Source organism: Homo sapiens, chromosome 14 (assembly GCF_000001405.40).
Source record: "Homo sapiens chromosome 14, GRCh38.p14 Primary Assembly".
In the NCBI taxonomy this organism is placed as follows: domain Eukaryota; kingdom Metazoa; phylum Chordata; class Mammalia; order Primates; family Hominidae; genus Homo; species Homo sapiens.
This window is the reverse complement of record NC_000014.9, coordinates 25,350,382-25,370,131: the sequence shown is the minus strand read 5'-3', so window position 1 is coordinate 25,370,131 and position 19,750 is coordinate 25,350,382. Positions and strand designations below refer to the sequence as shown.

General features: G+C 38.7%; 1 long non-coding RNA gene and 1 pseudogene across 1 annotated transcript in view; both read right to left on the bottom strand.

The window, feature by feature from the left end:
- The window catches only part of LOC112268135 (uncharacterized), a 93,016-nt gene extending 74,179 nt beyond the window's left edge, over positions 1 to 18,837 (bottom strand). Inside the window, exon 1 of the long non-coding RNA XR_002957614.1 lies at positions 18,592 to 18,837. This is a non-coding gene — a long non-coding RNA (uncharacterized LOC112268135). The remainder of the gene's footprint in view (positions 1 to 18,591) is intronic.
- Positions 11,364 to 12,367, bottom strand: OR7K1P (olfactory receptor family 7 subfamily K member 1 pseudogene; annotated as a pseudogene).
- Positions 18,838 to 19,750: the final 913 nt, after the last annotated feature.

Sequence of the window (19,750 nt, the reverse complement as noted above, 5' to 3'; positions counted from 1 at the left end):
GGGGCAGGGCATAGCCAAACAAAAGGCAGCAGAAACCTCTGCAGACTTCAATGTCCCTGTCTGACAGCTTTGAAGAGAGTAGTGGTTCTCCCAGCACAGAGTTTAAGATCTGAGAATGGACAGACTGCCTCCTTAAGTGGGTCCCTCACCCCCCAGTAGCCTAACTGGGAGGCAACCCCCAGTAGGGGCAGACTGACACCTCATACGGCCAGGTACCCCTCTGAGACGAAGCTTCCAGAGGAACAATCAGGCAGCAACATTTGTTGTTCAGCAATATTCGCTGTTCTGCAGTCTCCGCTGCTGATACCCAGTAAAATAGGGTCTGGGATGGACCTCCAGCAAACTCCAACAGACCTGCAGCTGAAGGTCCTGACTGTTAGAAGGAAAACTAACAAACAGAAAGGACATCCACACAAAAACCCAATCTGTATGTCACCATCATCAAACACCAAAGGTAGATAAAACCACAAAGATGGGAAAAAACAGAGCAGAAAAGCTGAAAATTCTAAAAATGAGAGCACCCATCCACGTCCAAAGGAAGACAGCTCCTCACCAGCAATGGAACAAAGCTGGACGGAGAATGACTTTGAGGAGTTGAGAGAAGAAGGCTTCAGATGATCAAAATTCTCTGAGCTAAAGGAGGAAGTTCGAGCCCATTACAAAGAAGCTAGAAACCTTGAAAAAAGATTAGATGAATGGCTAACTAGAATAACCAATGCAGAGAAGTCCTTAAATGACCGGATGGAGCCAAAAACCATGGCACAAGAACTACATGACGAATGCACAAGCTTCAGTAGCCAATTCGATCAACTGGAAGAAAGGGTATCAGTGATTGAAGATGAAATGAATGAAATGAAGTGAGAAGAGAAGTTTAGAGAAAAAAGAGTAAAAAGAAATGAACAAAGCCTCCAAGAAATATGGGACTATGTGAAAAGACAAAATCTACATCTAATTGATGTACCTGAAAGTGATGGGGAGAATGGAACCAAGGTGGAAAACACTCTGCAGGATATTATCCAGGAGAACTTCCCCAATCTAGCAAGGCAGGCCAACATTCAAATTCAGGAAATACAGAGAATGCCACAAAAATACTCCTCAAGAAGAGCAACTCCAAGACACAAAATTGTCAGATTCACCAAAGTTGTAATGCAGGAAAAAATGTTAAGGGCAGCCAGAGAGAAAGGTCGGGTTACTCACAAAGGGAAGCCCATCAGACTAACAGCAGATCTCTCAGCAGAAACGCTACAAGCCAGAAGAGAGTGGGAGCCAATATTCAACATTCTTAAAGAAAAGAATTTTCAACCCAGAATTTCATATCCAGCCAAACTAAGCTTCTTAAGTGAAGGAGAAGTAAAATCCTTTAAAGACAAGCAAATGCTGAGAGATTTTGTCACCACCAGGCCTGCCCTAAAAGAGCTCCTGAAGGAAGCACTGAACATGGAAAGGAACAACTGGTACCAGCCACTGCAAAAACATGCCAAATTGTAAAGACCATCGAGGCTAGGAAGAAACTGCATCAACTAACAAGCAAAATAACCAGCTAATATCATAATGACAGGATCAAATTCACACATAACAATATTAACCTTAAATGTAAATGGGCTAAATGCTCCAATTAAAAGACACAGACTGGCAAATTGGATAAAGAGTCAAGACCCATCAGTGTGCTGTATTCAGGATACCCATCTCATGTGCAGAGACATACATAGGCTCAAAATAAAAGGATGGAGGAAGATCTACCAAGCAAATGGAAAACAATAAAAAAGGCAGAGGTTGCAATCCTAGTCTCTGATAAAACAGACTTTAAACCAACAAAGATCAAAAGAGACAAAGAAGGCCATTACATAATGGTAAACGGATCGGTTCAACAAGAAGAGCTAACTATCCTAAATATATATGCACCCAATACAGGAGCACCCAGATTCATAAAACAAGTCCTTAGAGATCAACAAAGAGACTTAGACTCACACACAATAATAATGGGAGACTTTAACGCCCCACTGTCAACATTAGACAAATCAATGAGACAGAAAGTTAACAAGGATATCCAGGAATTGAACTCAGCTCTGCAACAAGCGGACCTAATAGACATCTACAGAACTCTTCACCCCAAATCAACAGAATATACATTATTCTCAGCACCACACCACACTTATTCCAAAATTGACCACATAGTTGGAAGTAAAGCACTCCTCAGCAAATGTAAAAGAACAGAAATTATAACAAACTGTCTCTCAGACCACAGTGCAATCAAACTAGAACTCAGGATTAAGAAACTCACTAAAAACTGCTCAACTACATGGAAACTGAACAACCTGCTCCTGAATGACTACTGGGTACATAACGAAATGAAAGCAGGAATAAAGATGTTCTTTGAAACCAATGAGAACAAAGACACAACATACCAGAATTTCTGGGACGCATTCAAAGCAGTGTGTAGAGGGAAATTTATAGCACTAAATGCCCACAAGAGAAAGCAGGAAAGATCTAAAATTGACACCCTAACATCACAATTAAAAGAACTAGAGAAGCAAGAGCAAACACACTCAAAAGCTAGCAGAAGGCAAGAAATAACTAACATCAGAGTAGAACTGAACAAAATAGAGAAAGAAAAAACCCTTCAAAAAATCAACGAATCCTGGAGCTGGTTTTTTGAAAAGATCAACAAAATTGATAGACCACTAGCAAGACTAATAAAGAAGAAAAGAGAGAAGAATCAAATAGATGCAATAAAAAATGATAAAGGGGATATCACCACCGATCCCACAGAAATACAAACTACCATCAGAGAATACTATAAACACCTCTATGCAAATAAACTAGAAAATCTGGAAGAAATGGATAAATTCTTTGACACACTCTCCCAAGACTAAACCAGGAAGAAGTTGAATCTGAATAGAACAATAACAGACCAATATCCCTGATGAACACTGCTGCAGAAATCCTCAATAAAATACTGGCCAACCAAATCCAGCAGCACATCAAAAGGCTTATGCACCATGATCAAGTGCGCTTCATCCCTGGGATGCAAGGCTGTTTCAACATATGCAAATCAATAAACATAATCCAGCATATAAACAGAACCAAAGACAAAAACCACATGACTATCCCAATAGATGCAGAAAAGGCCTTTGACAAAATTCAACAGCCCTTCATGCTAAAAACTCTCAATAAATTAGGTATTGACGGGACATATCTCAAAATAGTAACAGCTATTTATGACCAACCCACAGCCAATATCATACTGAATGGACAAAAACTGAAAGCATTCCCTTTGAAAACTGGCACAAGACAGGGATGCCCTCTCTCACCACTCCTATTCAACATATTGTTGGAAGTTCTGGCCAGGGCAATCAGGCAGGAGAAAGAAATAAAAGGCATTCAATTAGGAAAAGAGGAAGCCAAATTGTTCCTGTTTACAGATGACATGATTGTATGTTTAGAAAACCCCATTATCTCAGCCCAAAATCACCGTAAGCTGATAAGCAACTTCAGCAAGGTCTCAGGATACAAAATCAATGTACAAAAATCACAAGCATTCTTATACACCAATAACAGACAAACAGAGAGCCAAATCATGAGTGAAGAGTGAACTCCCATTCATAATTGCTTCAAAGAGGATAAAATACCTAGGAATCCAATTTACAAGGGATGTGAAGGACCTCTTCAAAGAGAGCTACAAACCACTGCTCAATGAAATAAAAGAGGATACAAACAAATGGAAGAACATTCCATGCTCATGGATAGGAAGAATGAATATCATGAAAATGGCCATACTGCCCAAGGTAATTTGTAGATTCAATGCCATCCCCATCAAACTACCAATGACTTTCTTCACAGAATTGGAAAAAACTACTTTAAAGTTCGTATGGAACCACAAAAGAGCCTGCATTTCCAAGACAATCCTAAGCCAAAAGAACAAAGCTGGACGCATCATGCTACCTGACTTCAAACTATACTACAAGGCTACAGTAACCAAAACAGCATGGTACTGGTACCAAAACAGAGATATAGACCAATGGAACAGAACAGAGCCCTCAGAAATAATACCACACATCTACAACCATCTGATCTTTGACAAACCTGACAAAAACAAAAAATGGGGAAAGGAATCCCTGTTTAATAAATGGTGCTGGGAAAACTGGCTAGCCATATGTAGAAAGCTGAAACTGGATCCCTTCCTTACACCTTATACAAAAATTAATTCAAGATGGATTAAAGACTTAAATGTTAGACCTAAAACCATAAAAACCCTAGAAGAAAACCTAGGCAATACCATTCAGGACATAGGCATGGGCAAGGACTTCATGTCTAAAACACCAAAAGCAATGGCAACAAAAGCCAAAATTGACAAATGGGATCTAATTAAACTCAAGAGCTTCTGCACAGCAAAAGAAACTACCATGAGAATGAACAGGCAACCTACAGAATGGGAGAAAATTTTTGCAATCTACTCATCTGACAAAGGGCTAATATCCAGAATCTACAATGAACTCCAACAGATTTACAAGAAAAAAACAAACAACCCCATCAAAAAGTGGGAGAAGGATAGGAACAGACACTGCTCAAAAGAAGACATTTATGCAGCCAACAGACACATGAAAAAATGCTCATCATCACTGGCCATCAGAGAAATGCAAATCAAAACCATAATGAGATACCATCTCATACCAGTTAGAATGGTGATCATTAAAAAGTCAGGAAACAACAAATGCCGGAGAAGATGTGGAGAAATAGGGACACTTTTACACAGTTGGTGGGACTGTAAACTATTCAACCACTGTGGAAGACAGTGTGGCGATTCCTCAAGGATCTAGAACTAGAAATACTATTTGACCCAGCCATCCCATTACTGGGTATATACCCAAAGGATTATAAATCATGATGCTATAAAGGCACATGCACACGTATGTTTATTGAGGCACTATTCACAATAGCAAAGACTTGGAACCAACCCAAATGTCCAACAATGATAGACTGGATTAAGAAAATGTGGCACATATACACCATGGAATACTATGCAGCCATTAAAAAGGATGAGTTCATGTCCTTTGTAGGGACATGGATAAAGCTGGAAACCATCATTCTCAGCAAACTATCGCAAGGACAAAAAACCAAACACAGCATGTTCCCACTCATGGGAGGGAATTGAACAATGAGAACACTTGGACACAGGAAGGGGAACATCACACACTGGGGCCTGTTGTGGGGTGGGGGTAGGGGCAGAGGGAAAGCATTAGGAGATATACCTAATATAAATGAGGAGTTAATGGGTGCGGCACACCAACATGGCACATGTATACATATGTAACAAACCTGCACGTTGTGCACATGTACCCTAGAACTTAAAGTATTAAAAAAAATTTTTTTAAAAAAGATTGGGGAACCACTCAAATATCCAAAGGTTCATTGACAAGGATATGGATAAACAAATGAATAAACTAGTAAAGTCTATTCTTCCACAATAAAAATGAATAAACCACATCAAACAAATCTTCAGAAATGAATCTTTAAACATACTATTGAATGAAAAAAGCAAATCTCCTAAGACTATAAACTGTTGTCATTTTTTGTAAAGGTCAAAATCAAACAATGCAAAACTAATTAAACAACGAATTGTTGAGGAGAATCTACATATACGATTTTAAATACTTTTTAAGAGAAAAATGCGAAATCTAAAGTAGTCATTATTTCTAGGTGGGGAGCAATCAGGGAGGCAGAGAAGCAAGAGAGTAACACATAAATAAAAAATTCTATTAGTATTGTTCTAACTCTTATGTAGGGTGCTGGTTTCATGGGAATTCACCTTATCATTATGCTTCATAATCCTCATATGTATTTTATACTGTTGTTTTATAAGTATCAAATATTTCCTAAGAAATAAATTTAAAATATTAAATGAGAATGCAACTCAAAAAGGGATATGAAACAGAGCAAACCAGCAAAAACAGACTCCTTTCCTGAATATCCCATTGGCATTTGTGGGCATTCCTTATTGTGTCACTTTCCAAATTTATCCATGTGCACTGGGCCACGGGTTGATCCACATGGAAAACTGCCTTTCAATTCCTTCATATTTAGATAAGGAGTAATAATTCCTATTCTACCAAATCTACCAATTTTCTGAAAGAATAAATGGGACCATATGTATGAGTTGGTGAACTGAGAAATGTTTCACAAGTGTTACATACAATTGTTACCATCTTCCCAAGTCTACCTCATGAGAATGTTTGAGGACAAAAGTCAGGAAGGAGAAAGCCCTCAAGAATCTTAAAGAGGGATAAAAAGGGCAATGGTCTAAGAGAAACTAACTTAAGAAAAGAATTAATTCAGAGATGATTGGTAATTGATCCAGAGCCTTTGCTTATTTTTTTCTCTCGTTTATATTCTCTTGATACTTATAGAAATTTAGCAGATTAAAGAAAAGGACAATAAAAAAGCAAAACAGTTTATATGCAGTTTCTGTTAATCGTTAAACTAATTTGAGAGTGAATACTAGTACACACCCCAGGTGCTTTATATCTTAATGTCTCTGAAACCACATACCCACCACCTGTGTGATAGTTATAAATGTAAAATTCTGTGAGGTCAAGTTAAATAGATGTAATTTAGAAACGTGGAGTTGTATCATTGCTATTAGCATCAAGTATCAGAATCAAATATATAATTTTCATAATATTTTCATAAAATGAAAAGTTAAGAATTCAAAAGATTATAAAAATGCATTTTAACATATTTTCCAAAAAGTTTGCTTGCTGCCAAGAAAATTAGTCAAAAATTGAAAAGCCACTTAAACAAATTTTAGACATAGTTATCTCTATGACAGTAATTTGTTGACTATTTTTCTTTCTCAGTTGAGTGGATTGAATTATTTTACACAATTGCCTAATTGAGTAACTTGACATAGTCGTCTTTGTCTCCTTCCTTCTAATGACAGCCCAGCATGACCATAACACCTTGACCAGGCCACCTGAATGGCCCGTTTTGAGCTCATCCCAAGCACATTTATCATTAGTAAAATAATTGGGCTGCAAAATAATCACATCCTGATTTCTTATTTAGGAAGATGATTAGGAAACATTTACACAGTTACAGTGGAGAAGCAGAAGCACGGAGAAGTTCAATGACTTTCTCAAGGTTACACAAGGACAAAACCAAGAACAGAAAATAGGTTTCCTACCTTTCAGTCTAACGAGATGTATTTCCAAGTCTATATTGCCTTCTTTACTTATTCACAGAAAAGGAGAAACCCAATTACCGTAAGTATGACACTTTGAACTGGATTTCAGATGCATTACCCAATGACCAGAACACAGAACAATTTTCTCTCTCTTTCCTCTGGTTTGTGCATTGGGCCATTGGGAGTAAAAACTTTTTATCCAAGTCCCATCTTCCTACACAGGAGTGTGAGAGGTGGTGAGACAGGCCTGCTATTAGTGGCCTGCTGCTGTTTGGCCAAGAGTATTGGCATCTCTTCTTCAACCTAGTTTTAACAATCTGAAATTCTGGGCAATAGTCCCAGTATGTGTGTTCTAGGATTTAAATTAAATGTGAGAAAAAGAGGACTTCCATGATCTCACAGGTAAGCCATATTCTCTGACTCAGTTTACCAGAGGCCTTACATTTCCAGGAGTGTGAGCTACATGAGCAGCTATTAATAACTACAAGGGAACTAACTGTTAATCACTTTCCAATGTAAAGGCTGTCTAAGCTGCTTTAATTCAGCACCTCCCCCAGTTACAAGTATAAGGAGTCTGCCTACCTCTATACCATTAGTTATCAATTCTTTGTTTTTATTAGACACTAAGTATAGGGATATCCACAGTGGGCAATGTGATGAGCACTGAGTATATTCCTATGGAACAGACTGATACTAGCCCTGCTGGTCCACCAACAGGCAAAGTTCTAGATGCAGTTGAATAAGATCCTTACCAGACAGCATGAGGGCAAGAGCTGAAAGAGCTCTTAGATACAGATAATGGGAAGTGCTCAATCAAAGACTAGGAGGTCTGCAAGTAAAGACCTGCTTTCCATGTGGTCCTGAGAACTTGTTTGATGCCTCTTATTGTGGTCTTTTCCAGGCCCATCCACTTGACTCTTCCCAAGCAGCAGGCTCTCCCCTTCCCATAACAGATGCTATTGGTGTCTCAACATGATCCCCTTATATAAGCCTGGTCTGTGGGTATTGGATGCAAATGGCTCACTTCTGAACCCTGCCTATCTTGGAGATACTGGGAAGTCACACACCAACCCCCAGTAGCTCATAGCCAGTGGATAATACCATGCCGTAATAGGCAAGCCCAGTTGCTGCTGGCCACACAAGCTCCAAGGTCCATTTCAATCAGGATGAGACTACACTTCACCTGAACTCATATTTTTCTTAGTTTCTTCTGCCCTACCCTGCTTTCCTCATTTCTTTACAGGTTCCACTACTGGAGAGCCCTCCTTCACTAAATATTTCCATAAGAATCCTCTTCTCAGGTTCTGCTTCTAAAGGGCCCAATCTTTTTATTTTATATTATTATTATACTTTAAGTTTTAGGGTACATGTGCACAACGTGCAGGTTTGTTACATATGTATACATGTGCCATGTTGGTGTGCTGTATCCATCAACTCATCATTTAGCATTAGGTATATCTCCTAATGCTATCCCTGCCCCCTCCACCCACTCCACAACAGTCCCCAGTGTGCGATGTTCCCCTTCCTGTGTCCGTGTGTTCTCATTGTTCAATTCCCACTTATGAGTGAGAACATGCAGTGTTTGGTTTTTGTCCTTGCGATAGTTTGCTGAGAATGATGGTTTCCAGCTTCATCCATGTCCCTACAAAGGACATGAACTCATCATTTTTTATGGCTGCATAGTATTCCATGGTGTATATGTGCCACATTTTCTTAATCCAGTCTATCATTGTTGGACATTTGGGTTGGTTCCAAGTCTTTGCTATTGTGAATAGTGCCACAATAAACATATGTGTGCATGTGTCTTTATAGCAGCATGATTTATAATCCTTTGGGTATATACCCAGTAATGGGATGGCTGGGTCAAATGGTATTTCTAGTCCTAGATCCCTGAGGAATCACCACACCGACTTCCACAATGGTTGAACTAGTTTACAGTCCCACCAACAGTGTAAAAGTGTCCCTATTTCTCCACATCCTCTCCAGCACCTGTTGTTTCCTGACTTTTTAATGATCGCCATTCTAACTGGCGTGAGATGGTATCTCATTGTGGTTTTGATTTGCACTTCTCTGATGGCCAGTGATGATGAGCATTTTTTCATGTGTTTTTTGGCTGCATAAATGTCTTCTTTTGAGAAGTGTCTGTTCATATCCTTCTCCCACTTTTTGATGGGGTTGTTTGTTTTTTTCTTGTAAATTTGTTTGAGTTCATTGTAGATGCTGGATATTAGCCCTTTGTCAGATGAGTAGATTGCAAAAATTTTCTCCCATTCTGTAGGTTGCCTCTTCACTCTGATGGTGGTTTCTTTTGCTGTGCAGAAGCGCTTTAGTTTAATTAGATCCCATTAGTCAATTTTGGCTTTTGTTGCCATTGCTTTTGGTGTTTTAGACATGAAGTCCTTGCCCATGCCTATGTCCTGAATGGTATTGCCTAGGTTTTCTTCTAGGGTTTTTATGGTTTTAGGTCTAACATTTAAGTCTTTAATCCATCTTGAATTAATTTTTGTATAAGGTATAAGGAAGGGATCCTGTTTCAGCTTTCTACATATGCCTAGCCAGTTTTCCCAGCCCAATCTTAAAACATTTCTCAAACCAACCTCTCAGAATTAGCTCCAAGGTCACTAGTACTCTTCTCTGGTAATCTCCTATTTTCTTTTCCAAAGGTGAAAATGCTTTTGCCCTTCTTTGTTTTGCCCAGAGTACATCTTTTCTCTCCTTCCTCTACCTTCTTCACAGGCCCTGTTTCCTCCTATATTTTTCCTCTAATATTATTCTTCTATTATTCTATCATTTTCTTATTCTTCCAGTAGTCCCACATACCTAGAGAGCTTATCATTAGCAATTTAAAAATATAGCTCTCTTTTTCTTGAAGGCAGAAAGAAAAAGGTGTTTCATTACTTCATTGGACGGTTTAAAGATAAACCGTCCAATGAAGTAATAAAACATCTTTCAGTATTGTTATGAGACTTAAAACATACAGATAACTGGTACATAGTAGGAGTATAACAAATGGTAGCTAATAGTATTACTTTATCTGCATATGCTAATCACTCCAATTCCATCAAGTAGTGAAGACCTTTAGCTACCAGGTCAGCCTAGCAGGTCAGGTCTCTAATGATTGGAAAAAAATGCCTAAATGTACATTAGGACCTTTGAATCTCCAGATTTGTTCCCTTTTCTCAATTCCAGTAATATGGACTCTTGGGAATAGAAGACATTTGAAATGTGTTTAAGCTTCATCTATGCCCTCTCTGAAACTAGAACCAGTTCCTGTATCTTCAGTTACTAGCTGTGATCTCACCTAATCCAGAAGTGTCACAGAGCCTACACACTGTTCTCCTCACAATGATTGGTACCACCACTGCTCAGAAACCATATGAAATACTTACCCCAATCTGATCTAACTATGGAGGACTAGCCATTTTTTCCCAGAAATTTGCTTTATAAATAACTGCCTCTCTTCATCATCTGTCTTACTTTATGCCACTCCCCCTAGGGACAGACTATTAAGCTACCAGCTGGTCAAATTACTACACGCAACTGACTATATGTATTATATACTGTATGATTACAACTACATGGCTTTGGAGATGTAAAAGATCAGTGGTTACAAGGAGTTGGGGTGGGGAAAAGGGGAGGAATGGACAGGCAGGGCATAGAGGATTTTTAGAGTAGTGAAAATACTGTATGTACTAGAATGATGGATACACATCATTGTACAATTGTGCAAACCCATAGAATGTACAATACCAACAATGAACCCTTCAGCTAACTCCAGATTTTAGGTGATTATGATGTGTCAATGTGGATTCATCAGTTGTAACAAATGTACCACTCTGGTGGAGGATGTTGAAAATTTGAGAGTCTATGCATGTGTGAGAGTATATGGGAAATCTCTACATCTTCCTCTCAGTTTTGCTGTGAACCTAAAACTGCTCTGAAAATGGTATTTCTTAGAACAGAGAGTTGTACATTTATCCCATATGTCTGGATCACAAAGGAGAGATAAAGAGGGCTCTACAGCTGTAATAGGATTCAATCATGATTATAATGTAGGTAGGATTCCAGAATACTCTCTTGATCCCATTAAAGATTTACAAAAAGAAGCAATATCCAGATATGAAACAACAAGAGGATTGAAAGCCATAAGAGCTGAAAAAAATATGTAACCAAACATGCAGCGTTTCTGGCTCCAGATATTTGAGTTTGCTGTTTTTTCTAACCACACTCCATAAAGGATAGCACAGGTATTGATACCAGGCAGTTATGCTGAGGAGCCACCACCAGGTATTCTTGATGTCTCTGTTCCTCAGGCTGTGAATGCAGGGTTCAACATGAGGGTGACTGTGGTATATACCATTGAGGCCACCACACCTGTTCTTGGGGAAGGTGAGCCAGCCAAACTAAGGTATACTCCAAGGCCTGTTCCATAAAATAAGCAAACAACTGACAGGTGAGAGCGATGGGTGGAGAAGGTTTGCTTTATACTTCCCACATTTTATAGGGTTATGAGTATGGAGAACATAATTTGAGTATAACAGTAAAGGATCCCTGAGAATGGACCACAGAGATGGCACCAATAAAATGCATTAATGTGTTATTGGTGGCAGTGTCAGAACAGGAAAGGTGGAGAAACTGAGAAGGGTCACAGAAGAAATGAGGAATGTCTACATTTGCATGAGAGAACTTGTGACACCATCAAACTGTACAGCTGGGTTTCCAAAAGACTGATCAAAAAAAAAAAAGAGAGAGAGAGACCAGAAGCAGGAGGCCACAGAGGTGGGGATTCCTGATCACTGTGTAGTACAAGAGATGACAGGTCGCCACAAATGGGTCATAGGCCATCACAGTCATGAGTAGATTGTGCAAACATCCAAAAATAATTTTAAAAGACATCTATTTCAGGCAGCTCATGTATAAAATGATTCTGCTGTGAGTTTGGAGGTCTACAGTTATCTTTGAAATTGTGGCAGGGGTGAAACCAATGTCAGCTAAGGACAGGTTGAAGTCATGGGGTTGTGGAGGTGAGGGCAAAGCTGACAGTCAGAAGGATGTGAGCAAGTTCGCAAGCACTGTGACTAGGTGCATGGTTCAGGGACAGCCTGAAGAGGAAAGGCTGCAGTTCCAAGTCATCTAAGAAGTGGAGGAGGAAGAATTCCAAAACACGAGTTAGATTCTTTGGTCCCATGTGGCTGAGACTCATTTTTCACTTATTTCCTTCTGTGATACTCATCTTTCCTTTATGTAGACCCAAGTTTCTGACTTGTATCATTTTCCTTCTCTACGAAGACCTTTTTTTAAAAAACATGTTTTGCAAGGAAGATCTACTCGCAACCAATTTCTTCAATTTTTGTTTGTATGAGAAAGTGTTATGCCTTTCCTTTTGAAGGATATTTTCATAGGATACAGAATCCTAGTTTGGTGGGGGGGGGTTTGCCTCAATCTTTTAAATACTTCATTCTACTCTCTTCTTGATTTTATGTTTTATAAGGAGAAGTCAGATGTAATTATTATCTTTGATCCTCTGTAGGTAAGGTATTTTTTTCCCTATGGCTTCTTTTGGGATTCTTTTATATATTCGATTTTCTGAAGTATGAATATGATATGCTCATGTGTCATTTTTGGCATTTATCTTGCTTGGTGTTCTCTGAGATTTCCAGATCTGTGGTTTGGTGTCTGACATTAATGTGGAGAAATTCTCAGTAATTATTACATCAAATATTGCTTCTGTTTATTTCTTCTCCTCTGTTATTCTCATTGTATGTATGTTACACCTTTTGTAGTTGTTTCCCAGTTCTTAAATATCCTATTCTGGTATTTTTGGTTTGGGGTTTGGGTTTCTTTTTCAGTTTTATTTTTCCTCTGCTATTCAGTTTTGGAGTTTTTTGTTGTTATATCCTCAAGCTCAGAGACTCTTGCCTCAGCCACATCCAGTTTATGTTTTTCTATTAGAGCCCTTAACATATTAATTATAGTTGTTGAAAGTTATCAGTCTAATAATTCCAACACCTCTGCCATATCTGAGGCTGGTTTTGATGCTTGTTCAGTCTCTTCCAACTGTTTCTGCCTTTTATATGCCTTCCAACTTTTCTTTCAAATCCGAACGTGATGTATTAATACAAGTTGAATACCAATAAATAGGTATTTAATGGTATGGAGAGAGTTGAAGTTTTCTACTCTGATTGGGTATCCTTTTTTTGGTAAGCCTGTGCCTCTGTATTGTGAACTTCATCAGTGCTTCTCTGTCTCTTTTCCCCATTAGGTGGGACAAAATGGCTAGAGTCTCATCTCAGGTAGATTCCACTGTAATTAAATTCCAGCAAATTAGACTCTGGTAAAATAATTTCTCCTGAGGGTAGGCCTTATTAAGAAGAGCAGAGTGCTCTGGAACATTTTAAAAAGATTCCTTTTTCCCTCCCACCTGCTGGAAGTGTTATAGGAAAGGAGTCCATATCTAGATCCCAAGGGAGGGTTCTTGGATCTCACACAAGAAAGAATTCAAGGAGAGTTCGTAAAGCGAAAGCAAGTTTATAAAGAAAGTAAGGGAATAAAAGAATGGCTACTCCATAGACAGAGCAGCCCAGAGAGCTGCTGGTTGCCCCTTTTTATGGTTGTTTCTTGATGATATGCTAAACAAAGGGTGGATTATTCATGCCTCCCCTTTTTGGACCATATAAGGTACCTTCCTGACATTGCTATGGCATTTGTAAACTGTCATGGTGCTGGTGGGAGTATAGCAGTGAGGATGACCAGAGGTCACTCTCATCGCTGTCTTGGTTTTGGTGGGTTTTAGCCATCTTCTTTACTGCAACCTGTTTTATCAGCAAGACCTTTATGACCGGTATCTTGTGCTGTCCTTCTATCTCATCCTGTGACTTAGAATGCCTTAACCGTCTGGGAATGCAGCCCAGTAGATTTCAGCCTCATTTTACCCAGCTCCTATTCAAGATGGAGTTGTGCTGGTTCATACACCTCTGACAGAAGTACAAAGGGATATTTATGTGAGGACCTAGTAGAGCTACTGGAGGTGAAACTCACAAAAATTAGAGTCCCCCATGATTCAGCCCCCGCCCTGGGGTCTTGTCCAGACTTGTTCACACCGAGCCCCTAGTAATACATCAATTGCAGTTCAGATTGTCCTACCCCATCACTGCTTCTGAAGGAATTTCCTGGTTGTGGGTTTCTGTTCTGGTAAGTTGTAATCCTCTGTATCTGACTGTCTGTCTCTCCAACTTGGGGAGACACTGGTTTTCCCTGTGACCTCACTTCTCTGATGAAACTAAGAAGAGCTGTTGATTTCTCATTTTGTTGAGTGTTTCTCTTGTTGTCAGGAAGAAGTGGTGACTTCTAAGCTCCCTACATGCTGGGCTGGAAACCCCCAAAAGACTTTCCAGCATATAAAACCTCACAAGGATTCCATTATCTCATTACCTTGCCACACACTGGAACATCTCTTATAAAACCTCAGTAGGATATTAGAGCCAGTTATATCAAAATAAATTCATATTGGAAAAAATATGTTTTCTAGGTAGAAATTCTCATGCCAATTGACTAACTTCTTTATCAAGTTCAGCTCTTTGCATTCTGAGCTTGCTGCTTTGGAAAAAACACAATCATTTATGTAATAATTAAAAATAAACAGTGAATATTTTATAGATTTTATTACCTAATAAAAATAGATTTGCATATAATAATTATTCTGAGGACGCTGTCAAACTCAGACCTACCTGCCCCAAAAACTGCCACTTTCTAATTAATATGACTCACAATACCTATATGTACAGAGATAATTTGCCGCACTGTTTCATGGCCTTGATTTACAAAAAAGCCACCTCCTTTCCCCAAGGAATCCCTATTTTCCCTCAGTCAATTTATAGTTTCCACAATGAAAATTTTAAAGTTTAAAAACTATTCTCTATCCTAGTCAATTTCATTCTATGATGTTAAAAAAGAAATGCTTGAAGTTAAAATAAAATCCCCAATAAACTTAATATTTAGCATTTACCCTGTGCCATGCATTGAAATTCCATTTCTATTTGCAAAATAAAGTGGAAAATTGAAAGAGGTTTCCCATTAATTCAGGCATTAAGTCCACTTATGCTAGAACTTTCTAGCTAATTGAAGCACACATAGCTTTTAAAGACAAGTCAATAGAGGCCTGACCCAATATATTACCATAAAGTGCATTGGGTAGATGTCACAGCAGCAGATGTTAGGTCTATTTAATCCTGAGTCTAGTTCAGCAGTGGGTAATACTATCATTAATCCACTGAGAGCACATACCCCTCAGATGATAATTAGAAAGGAACTTTTTTTAAGTATCTACAATTACAGTGACACTCTCAATAGCCTTAATTATGGAAATAACTTTCACATTAAATTCACCTGCTTGATAATATACAGTAAAAGTCTATTTCTGCTGAACTGTGTTGTTTGTTAAAGCATCAGTGCCTGAGGTTCAGCTATTCTACATGTGAATATTAGAGCCAACATCTCTAGAGTTTCAACTCAGATTAAAAGCTGGTATTAATTTGACTAGAGTTAGTGTTGTATGCTCAGCATGAAAAAATACATCTCTAGGAAAAAAGCTAGAAGATCCCAAGTAACATTCTAATCTCGGGTTTATCTCCTATTGTTATCTAATGCCCAATATTTTACCCTATCCAGATTCTGTAAGGCAAGAGCAAGGTAGGAAGCTTCCTGCCTGTTCTTGTGCTGAAATGAAATCCAAGTGTTTGATGCTGATTGCTAATATTCCTACTCACTTTTGATCCAGAGAAAATAATACAATTTGTAATTCCCAAGATACTTGTCAAGATCCCAGAAGGAAAATATGTACACGTACATACACATAAACACATACATACACACATATAAATACATACATACACATAAACACATAAACACATATGCACACACTCATACAATGGCTAATAATAACCTAATTTCTCTGTATCAATCTAGCTCTGTTCCACATGGAAAGGACTGGGATTCACATCTCTTTGTCTTTCAGATACCCTAAGCATGACATAGTAGTGCATTATCTTCTAAATATTCAATAAATGGTAGACACTGAAAAATGTTGAAAGCAGTGTATTGCTTATAGAGATAAAACAGGGAGATCTAAGAACTGTGTGCTCCTTGCCTTCTCATTTTTCATTCTTCATCTCAGTTTGGTCCACTCAGAATTACTTATTAATTATTCAGTGAGACTAAGAATTCCAGGTTTACTCTTCTAACATTCATGAAGCTAATCACTCAAATTAGCTTTGCAAATTACTAAAAAGATATTTTCTCCTTTGCTCTCATCCCTGTCACTGTGAAATTTAAAAGCAGTCCCCAAATCTGTAAGGTAAAAAGAGAAAGAAAAGGACAGAGTGATTTATTTTCCTTTATTTTCACTCAGAATTTCAGCTAAAAATGGCAAATGAGGACAAACTCATGCTACAAGTCATTGTTATGAAGGTGACTTCATTCTGATGAAAGTTGCAAATAGACAGAATATATTAACTCTGTCTTGAACTTTAAGACAACTCTCTCTCTCAGCTGTAGACCCGGTGGTACAGAGTTGAATGCTGGGAGATATCAGCTGTTTCAGTCCTCATTAAATTTTTGGCCACAAGCCATTGAAGTAAATTCAATAAGCTGAAGTCTTGGAATTTGCATTAGTTCTTTAAACAAAGACTCTTTCCTGAACAATGGAGTTTTGAGTACAGTTTGCTCTCTTAACTGTAGAAGGTTCATAGGGAGTTCACAGGGAAGAAATTAATTGGGCTCTCTATTGTTTTTTTTTCTCTTTTCCCATCCCCAATGTATTAAACATTTCTGTATACCTCAAATGCTACTGTCCTTCTTTGGTAAAATTTAATTCAATTAAAATTTACAAAGGCACAGAATAAAAAATGATATTAGAAGAGAAGTCAATTCTAATAAGAAAAATATTCTACAACTATAAATTGCTCATTAATTTCTACCCTCTAGTGCTTGTAAGCTTAGTCATGCCAAGTTAAGAGATATCCTTCCAATTGGTCTTTGATGAGACTTAAATAGTAAACCAGCCAATCTGATTCTATACCATTTCTTAGAACAAAGAAGAGTGCTATAGATTAGATTTCTGATAAGGATGACCTCTATACAGTAGGAGAAAAGCTAATTTGTACAGGTATCAACATTCTCTATCAAGGTAACCTATCATTTCTTTCAAGCACCAAAATAAGAAAATGGTATACAAACAAAGATCCTTGGTGGTGGAAAAACCAGCCCAGAATAGGAAAACAACCAGCACTATAAAGTCTAGCTCATAAAAACAAAATAAATGCTGCACTGGTGACTATGGTACTTAAGAAATGTAACTAACAGGAATGTTCACCATGGCAATAGTATTGACACTTGTAATATCTTTTAAGAGAAACTAAAATGTAACCTTTTTCCACTCACTTGTTACCTTCTTTACAGAAGACATACACAGAGCATAGTCTATACCATTTGGATGATATTACTGCATTCTGGCTTGTATTGTTTCAGTACTATTTTATTACAGTGAGGTGGAAAGAGTGCCAAACTTCAAGTGAGAAAAAGTGGATTCTAGTCCCAGCTCATTTACTAGTGTTATGGTTTGGATGTTTGACCCCTCCAAAAATCATGTTGAAATTTGATTCCCAATGTTGGAGATAGGGTCTAATGTGAGGTGTTTTGGTCACAAGGGAAGATCCCTCATGAATAGATTAATGCCCTTTCCTTGGTGATGAGTTCTTACTCCATTAGTTCCCATGAGAGCTGGTTGTTAAAAAAGGCTTAGCACCTCCCCTTTCTCTCTCTTGCTTCCCCTCTTGACATAGGATATCTACACACACTGGCTCCCCTTATCCTTCCACCATGAGTAGAAGCAGCCTAAGGCCCTCACCAGAAGCCAAGTAGATGTCAGCGCCATACCTGTAGAGCTTACAAAACTGAGATAAATAAACTTATTTTATTTATATATTCCAAGCTCCAGGTATTCCTTTATAGTAACACAAAACAGATGAAAACAACTAGCCTCAAGGTCTTGAATAAGCACCTTAATTTTCTGAACCCCAGCTTTGCCTGCCCTAAGCAGGCCATTTGAGATAATAAATGTGAACACACTTTATAAAACTACTTATCTCTGTATAAATGTAGGAATTATCATGGTGATGAACATGTAGTTCATCACCATTTTTTGAACATATCAGGTTTTAAAGAATAGGGATGGTCCTAGATCTTTTCCTAGAACCTTCTGTGTAACAAATAAGTGAACAGCTATTGAGAATATACCAAGTAACTCAAAAAGCTCTTTTGATCCAAAGGTAATCAAGTTGGAAGGAACCTGAGACATCATTTGATCCAACCCAATCATCTAATAGATCAGAAGACTGAACTCAAAACTGACTCACCCAAGTAACTCACGAAGGTGGTGCAGAAACGGAACCAGCCAACGTGACTCCCAGTGTCCTCATATCTGAATCACCCAGACTAGACTGGAGCAGACAGGCTTTACTCAGGGCAAAGATACTGCAAGAGAAAAAGTATGCTTGTGATGAAAGGAGGCAGTCCCAGTCGCCATGAGCAGCAGACTTAAAGTAGTCTTCTGGAAATTTTGACAAAATAGCTCTTTTTTGAATAGGCTATCATCCTGAGGATTTGTCATCTATTGGAACAGGCAGGGTAAATCATAGGCAGTGCACAGTGAGTGATCTGACCACTAGCTAGACTTTTAGATAAACAGAATAGGTGTATTAGTTAGGGTTTTCCAGAGGGACAGGACTTATAGGGTATACGTATATATGAAAGGGAGTCTATTATGGAGAAACAGCTCACAAAATCACAAGGTGAAGTCCCATGATAGGCTGTCCAGAAGCTGAGGAAGAAAGCAGCCAGTAGTGGCTCGGCCCAGGTCCAAAAGCCTCAAAAGCAGGGAAGCTGACAGTGCAGCCTTCAGTCTGTGGCTTAAGGCCAAAAGCCCTTGGCAATACACTGGTGTAAGCCCAAGAGTCCAAAACAGAAGAACCTCGAGTCTGATATCCAAGGGCAGGAGGAACGAGAGGAAGCATTCAGCATGTGAGAAAGATAAAAGCCAGAAGACTCAGCAAGCCAATGTATCCCACATTCTTACACTTGTTTTATTCTAGCCACTCTGGCACCTGAATGGATGGTGCCCACCCACAATGAGGGTGGGTCTTCCTCTCCCAGTCCACTGACTCAAATGTGAATCTCCTCTGGCAACACCTTCACAGACACAACCAGAAACAATGCTTGAGCAGCTATCTAGGCATCCTGCAAACCAATCAAGTTGACACCTAATACTAACCATCACAATAGGGGTTGCCAAAACAACAAATGAAAAGTGGAACTTTAGGTCTTTCCCTAGAAGACCCTCCACTTCAAAACCCTGATTAGGAAGCTGCATTCAAGGGATTGTACTTGGCATGCAAGCATTAGGAAACACAGGACTGGAGGATGTCCCATTGTCTGTCAGGTACTGAGGCACATTTTAGCTTTCCCAACTCAATATCCCTGAAAACAAAGTCTTAATGGCCTTTCTTGTTTCCCCTA